The sequence below is a fragment of the Homo sapiens genome, chromosome 14 (assembly GCF_000001405.40).
Source record: "Homo sapiens chromosome 14, GRCh38.p14 Primary Assembly".
In the NCBI taxonomy this organism is placed as follows: Eukaryota; Metazoa; Chordata; class Mammalia; order Primates; family Hominidae; genus Homo; species Homo sapiens.
Genome location: NC_000014.9, coordinates 66,291,137 through 66,298,226, shown reverse-complemented (window position 1 = coordinate 66,298,226; position 7,090 = coordinate 66,291,137). Strand labels below are relative to the sequence as shown.

General features: G+C 41.7%; 1 annotated feature.

Moving 5' to 3' along the window:
- Positions 4,309 to 4,509: a silencer, noted in NCBI's record as "peak2177 fragment used in MPRA reporter construct". NCBI's record gives its function as "represses an SCP1 promoter by STARR-seq MPRAs in K562 erythroleukemia cells {active_cell/tissue: K562}" and the evidence as "EXISTENCE:reporter gene assay evidence [ECO:0000049][PMID:32103011]".

Here is a 7,090-nt window from a genome sequence, read left to right as displayed (position 1 = left end):
TGCCAGTATTTTATTGAGGATTTTTGCATCTATGTTCATCAGGGATATTGGTCTAAAATTATCTTTTTTTGTTGTATCTCTGCCAGGCTTTGGTATCAGGATGGTGTTGGCCTCATAAAATGAGTTAGGGAGTATTCCTTCTTTTTCTGTTGATTGGAATAGTTTCAGAAGGAATGGTATCAGGTCCTCTTTGTACCTCTGGTAGAATTTGGCTGTGAATCCGTCTGGTCCTGGACTTTTTTTGGTCGGTAGGCTGTTAATTATTGCCTCAATTTCAGAGCCTGTTATTGGTCTATTCAGAGATTCAACTTCTTCCTGGTTTAGTCTTGGGAGGATGTATGTGTCTAGGAATTTATCCATTTCTTCTAGATTTTGTAGTTTATTTGTGTAGAGGTATTTATAGTATTCTCTGATGGTAGTTTGTATTTCTGTGGGATCAGTGGTGATATCCCCTCTATCATTTTTTATTGCGTCTATTTGATTCTTCTCTCTTTTCTTCTTTATTAGTCTTGCTAGCGGTCTATCAATTTTGTTGATTGTTTCAAAAAACCAGCTCCTGGATTCATTAATTTTTTGAAGGGATTTTTGTGCCTCTATGTCTTTCAGTTCTGCTCTGATCTTAGTTATTTCTTGCCTTCTGCTAGCTTTTGAATGTTAGTCTGATGGTCTTCCCTTTGTGGGAACCCAACCTTTCTCTCTGGCTGCCCTTAACATTTTTTCCTTCATTTCAACCTTGGTGAATCTGATGATTATGTGTCTTTGGGTTGCTCTTCTCGAGAAGTATCTTTATGGTGTTCTCTGTATTTCCTGAATTGAATGTTGGCCTCCCTTGCTAGGTTGGTGAAGTTCTCCTGGATAATATCCTGAAGAGTGTTTTCCAACTTTGTTCCATTCTCCCTGACTGGTGTACTTTCAGGTACACCAATCAAACTTAGATTTGGTCTTTTCACATAGTCTTATATTTCTTGGAGGCTTTGTTCATTTCTTTTTACTCTTTTTTTCTCTAACTTTGTCTTCCCACTTTATTTCATTAATTTGATCTTTAATCACTGAAACCCTTCCTTCCACTTCATCGAATAGGCTATTGAAGCTTGTGCATGCGTCACGTAGTTCTTGTGCCATGGTTTTCAGCTCCATCAGGTCTTTTAAGGTCTTCTCTACACTGTATATTCTAGTTAGCCATTTGTCTTACCCTTTTTCAAGGTTTTTAGCTTCCTTGCAATGGGTTGGAACATGCTCCTTTAGCTCAGAGAAGTTTGTTATTACTGACCTTCTGAAGCCTACTTCTGTCAACTCATCAAAGTCATTCTCCGTCCAGCTTTGTTCCATTGCTGGCAAGGAGAAGAGCCACCCTGATTTTTAGAATTTTCAGCTTTTCTGCTCTGGTTTCTCCCCATCTTTGTGGTTTTATCTACCTTTGGTCTTTGAAGTTGGTGACCTACAGATGGGGTTTTGGTGTAGATGTACTTTTTGTTGATGTTGATGCTATTCCTTTCCGTTTGTTAGTTTTCCTTCTAACAGTCATGTCCCTCAGCTGCAGGTCTGTTGGAGTTTGCTGGAGGTCCACTCCAGACCCTGTTTGCCTGGGTATCATCAGTGGAGGCTGTAGAACAGCAAATATTGTGGAACAGCAAATATTGCTGCCTGATCCTTCCTCTGGAAGCTTCATCCCAGAGAGGCACCCACCTATATGAGGTGTCTATCGGCCCCTACTGGGAGGTGTCTCCCAGTTAGGCTACACGGAGGTCAGGGACCCACTTGAGGAAGCAGTCTGTCCATTCTCAGAGCTCAAATGCCATGCTGGGAGAACCACTGCTCTCTTCAGAGCTGTCAGACAGGGACGTTTATGTCTGCAGAAGTTGTCTTCTGCCTTTTGTTCAGTTATGCCCTGTCCACAGAGGTGGAGTCTAGAGGCAGTAGGCCTTGCTGAGCTGTGGTGGGCTCTGCCCAGTTCGAGCTCCCTGGCCACTTTGTTTACCTACTCAAGCCTCAGCAATGGCGGATGTGCCTCCCTCAGCCAGGCTGCTGCCTCACAGTTTGATCTCAGACTGCTGCGCTAGCAGTGAGCAAGGCTCTGTGGGCATGGGAACTGCCCATCCAGGCACAGAAGAGAATCTCCTTGTGTGCTGCTTGCTAAGACCTTGGGAAAAGCTCAGTATTTGGGCAAGAGTGTCCTGTTTTTCCAGGTACAGTCTGTCACAGCTTCCCTTGGCTAGGAAAGGGAAATCCCCCGACCCCTTGTGCTTCCCGACTGAGGCGACACCCTGCCCTGCTTCAGCTCACCCTCCATGGGCTGTACCCACTTTCCAACCAGTCCCAATGAGATGAACCATGTACCTCAGTTGGAAATGCAAAAATCACCCATTTTCTGCGTCAATCACACTGAAAGCTGCAGACTGGAGCTGTTCCTATTTGGCCGTCTTGGAACGGAGCTCCCTAGTTAGGTAATTTAAAAAACTATAAAACTACATGTCTCAGGCTCATGAAGGTAAATTTTCTTCTGCCAATTATGTGCACTCAGTTTAAGATTTGAAAAAAAAGAGGCAGCTGCCATTTTCCTACAGCTGTTGTTGCCGGGAAGCTGGGTTATGACATGTGAGTGTTGGAATTGTTGGGATAATGGGAGCCCTGTCTAGTCACCAGCTTTGTGAGTATTAGAGGAAGTCATGGCCATAGCCAAAGCAGCACATTCCTGATCTGTGGGTAACTAAATGGACAGATAAACATTTGTTAAATGAATAAGTACGTGAGTGAATGAAGAACAGATGAATGCATGAAATAATAAACCATAATCTTTCCTTGAGAGAGTCATAATGGGGTGACCTTGAAATCTATAGTTGAGGGGCAGCTCCCTGACCAATGCTCTTCTAGTCTTCTCAATATCTCCTTAAGCCCTAATACCCAACATTAAGCTCCATGCTTGAACTCTCTGGAATAGATTCTATTTTCTGCACTCAACCCACATATACAGTAACTAAATTCCCCATAAAGGAAGGTTTTTTTTGTTTGTTTGTTTGTTTGTTTTTGAGATGGAGTCTTGCTCTGTCACCCAGGCTGGAGTGCAGTGGTGTGATCTCGGCTCACTGCAACCTCCACCTCCTGGGTCCAAGCAATTCTGCCTCAGCCTCCTGAGTAGCTGGGATTACAGGTTCCCACCACCGTGCCTGGCTAATTTTTGTATTTTAGTAGAGACAGGGTTTCACCATGTTAGCTAGGCTGGTATTGAACTCCTAACCTCGTGTTTCACCTGCCTCAGCCTCCCAAATTGCTGGGATTACAAGTGTGGGCCGCCATGCCCAGCCAGGAAGATTGTTTTTTAATTAGTTCATTTGTTTGTTCATTCATTCATTCATTTGTTCATTTATATATTCATTTATTCAACAAATGTTTATTTTTCCGTTTAATTATTGAACACAGGCCTTGTGCCAAGCACTGTGTAGGGCACTGAGGATTCTCTGAAGCCAGGTTCTGCCCTTAAGGAGTTTACAGTTGAAAGCCAGGGTTTGTGATAGGGTGGACGAGGCAGTACAAATTATTAATGACTGAAAAGGCCAGAGTAGAATGCCTAATTTGGGGAAAGAGGGGAAACTAACATTTACTGAGCATCCGTTATATGTTAGGTATTGTGATGGGATTTTATATATGTTATCATATTTAATAATCACAACAATCCAGTGAAGCCGATTATTATCCCCATTTTGCAGATGTGCAAACTAAAACTCAAGAGGTTAATTGTCTTCCCAGAGGATCTGAATCAGGATCCACTTGACCCCAAACTCCATGGTCTTGGAAAGTAAATGTTAGTAACCTTAGGCAGTGCTTTGCAATTGCCAGGTCCTCTGAAGACCTGCATGATGAGCAAGGCCTTGGTGCCTCTTCAGGTTCTCAGCGTCTCTGTAGTCTACCCAGCATCCTTTAATTCATTTCCACTTTCTCCTTCATTTTCATTTCTATTATTTTTCCTTTCCTTTTTTTTTTTTTTTTTTTTTTTGCTTTGGCCTGTCCATCAAATGCCTTTTCTCTAACTTTCATTCTGCTTCTGATTTTCTCTTTAACACTTTCCCCTTCCCTTTGGGCCTCTTGCATTTCTCTCTGTTCATCTCTTCTTTCTCTCCTTCATCTTCCCTGTATCATATCCTCTCTGCCTCATTTCTCTCTCTGGGATCCTTCAGGCTCTCTCTCTGTCTGTCTATATCATTCATTCTTTGTCTGCCCATTACATATCCCAAAGAGAGTCCCTGACTTAGAGCACTTAAGTCTCTATTTCTGCTTCCATGTTCAAGTTGGGGGACGCATGATTTTACTTTCTGTTTTGGTTCTGCCTTTGGATGGTTTCTGCTTTGGATGCCTTTCCAAAAGCAGAACATGGTTCACTGATAACCAAATTTTCCTGGCTGTCAATGAAAATGCTTCTTTGTACATACATAAGAATTTTGACTTCCGATCCTTATTATCATCTGAAACCTAATCTGTTTTTACCACATGTTATTCTTACTCTCACAGAACTCCACCCGGTGAAGCCATTTTTCCTCCTTTCTCTGCCTTACCCTGCAGGGAAGGAGTGGCTTTGCAGATGTGCCAGCTGCAAAGGCTGCACACACTTTGGGATGGCAGGGAGTGTGGAAATCCTTGCCAGGTTTTTAGAAGTATTATTCTTTACCTGGGATGCAAATAGAATGAGAAACAGAAAACTCAGAGGATCCTGCTCCCAGACAATGTTCCCTCATGTTACTATCACATTCAGTAATTGCAGGACTCTTTGCTGACACTTCCCTCTCTGCTGATGGGCAGTGTGCCCTTGTTGGGCATCTTCAGGGAGGAGGAGTGGTAGTTTACAGGGAAAAAGAGCTGTGTTTAAAAAGATAATCTTTAGAAAAGGAAAGGAATCCTATCCTATCATACTTTCTTTTTTAAAGGTAATTTTACCTTTTGAAAAGACCTACATTTTCTTGTTTTCTTCTGAACTGGAAGAGAGAAACTAGTGAAATTATGGATCAATTTCACTCTTTATCTTTATTTTCCTTGGTTGTCAGACTTTATCCTAATACTTTGTTTGCTTGTCTCTCAAGACTGTAGCAGAATAGTGGCCCTCCAAAATTTCCAAATCCCCTTTCCAAAATTTCAGCAGTAGAGATGCAGATTACTGTTTTATATTTTGTGGTAAGCACCTTAACCTTTTCAAAGAATGAAATAATCACAAATGAATTATATCATTCAAGAGCTCATTTTCTCTCCATTTAATAAAAACATAAATGGGTGGAGTTAGGTGGTTTCTTCCAAATAGCTCACCTTTTCTTGGCCCTTAGGCTAGAAGGGCCCTTTTCCATCTCCTTGTGGAATGGCTGCTGAAAAGTTAATGGGATCCAAGACTGAATTGGCAAGCAAGTTATCCAGTTCAAGGGAAATACAGTTCCATCGTGCTTTGTGATACTGAGCTTGGCATTCAGACTTTGAGGCCACACATTTTGGAAATAACCTACAAACTGAAATTTATACAGGACAATTAGAGTGATGAGATGGATGAAATCTACATTTTGTAAGGACTGGTGAAGTAATTAAGTTGGAAAAGAGAAGGGGCTAGAGTAACAAACAAGGGAGACGTAGAAGTCAGTAGAAGACAGTGTTATACTTACCACAGTGTGGAATTCATCTTTTAGTTTAGAACACAGGACATTGAGATGTAATAGTGATAAGAACAGTTCTTCATTGAGTATTTAGTTCTTATGTGTAGTGCTTCATATTCATTTTGTTTTAATCATTAAGGTAGGCATCATTATATCCACTTAACAGGTGAGAAACCTGAGTTCTTGGAAAAGTTAAAAATTTAGCCCCAAATCAGGCAGTTCATAAAGGCCAGAGCAAAAATCCAAACTCAGGTTCTTCTGACTCTAAAGGCAACACCCTTAAAGACAGTTTAAGTATTCCTCAAAAGGCAGAGATGGTTAGCAAACAGCAAACCAAAAGTCCTTTGTTTCATGTGTAGCTGTGTTATTATATCTTCCCACTAGATAAGATGGGAAACTATGCTACCTCTTAATTCCATGCATTAGCAAGGTGAATGCATCCCACTCATCTCAATTTACAGAGCAAATGCCATGGCAGGGTTCAATGGAAATTTTCTCCCTTGTGTTACAATCTATTGCTGATGTGACAAAGACAGAATTGTCAGAGCAACTTCTAATTAAATAGTTCAGGGCTTCATTAGGAAGATGTAACTGGATGCAGGACTTGACAGGCAAGTGTTGACATCACAGTTGACACTAATTGGTCCCTTGGCTGGCAACCTTGGCACAACATGGGAACTGGACACTGAGGGGAGGGAGGTGGAAGGAAACCAGGCTTGCTGAAACCACTTCTGAGGTAGACTCAGAGACCATCACTATGGGTCAGGGAGGAAATTCCCACAGGTACAAATTAGGGGCAAGGGTTGGGTTTGTTGCTTTGGCTTTCACTGCTTTAGAGAGTAGGTGGTCTTCTAGAGCTAGGGCACTTCCATTGCGGTTGACATGCCTTCAGTGTGTGCTTGTGTGTATGCACTTAGGGAGCATGGAGGAACACAATACAGCAGAGTTGTGAAGTCTCTGTCATAGACGCAGGACTAACCTATTTAATTAATTTTCCTCCTTTGAGATGTGATAAATATTCAGGAGACCGGGCCACCCCAGAAGGCTTCCTTTATGAAAATAAATTATTTCCCCTTTCCCTTAATAGCCAGAGCAGGTGAAAAGACCCTGCTCTGGCTATTAAGCACCCATTTGTTCAGTCCCAGCATCCATGGCATAAGTTCTGTGTTGGATTCTCACTGCACTGTGGGACCTTTCTGACTCAGGGACTTAGGAGTGGACTAGTTCATGCCCAAGATCACACAGGCCACCGTGAGACCAGAAAATACTAATACAAACAATAGACCTTCCAAATAGTTAAGAAATCTGTTAAATATCAGGATTCTGGGTCTATCACTGATTTATCTTTATACTTTTCTCCCTGAGATCCTAAATAAAGAAAACAATATTTTGATTTCACAAGGCACAGATTACTACTATTTTCTCCATTTTATAGTTGATGAAGCTGAGGCTTAGAGAATAGGAAG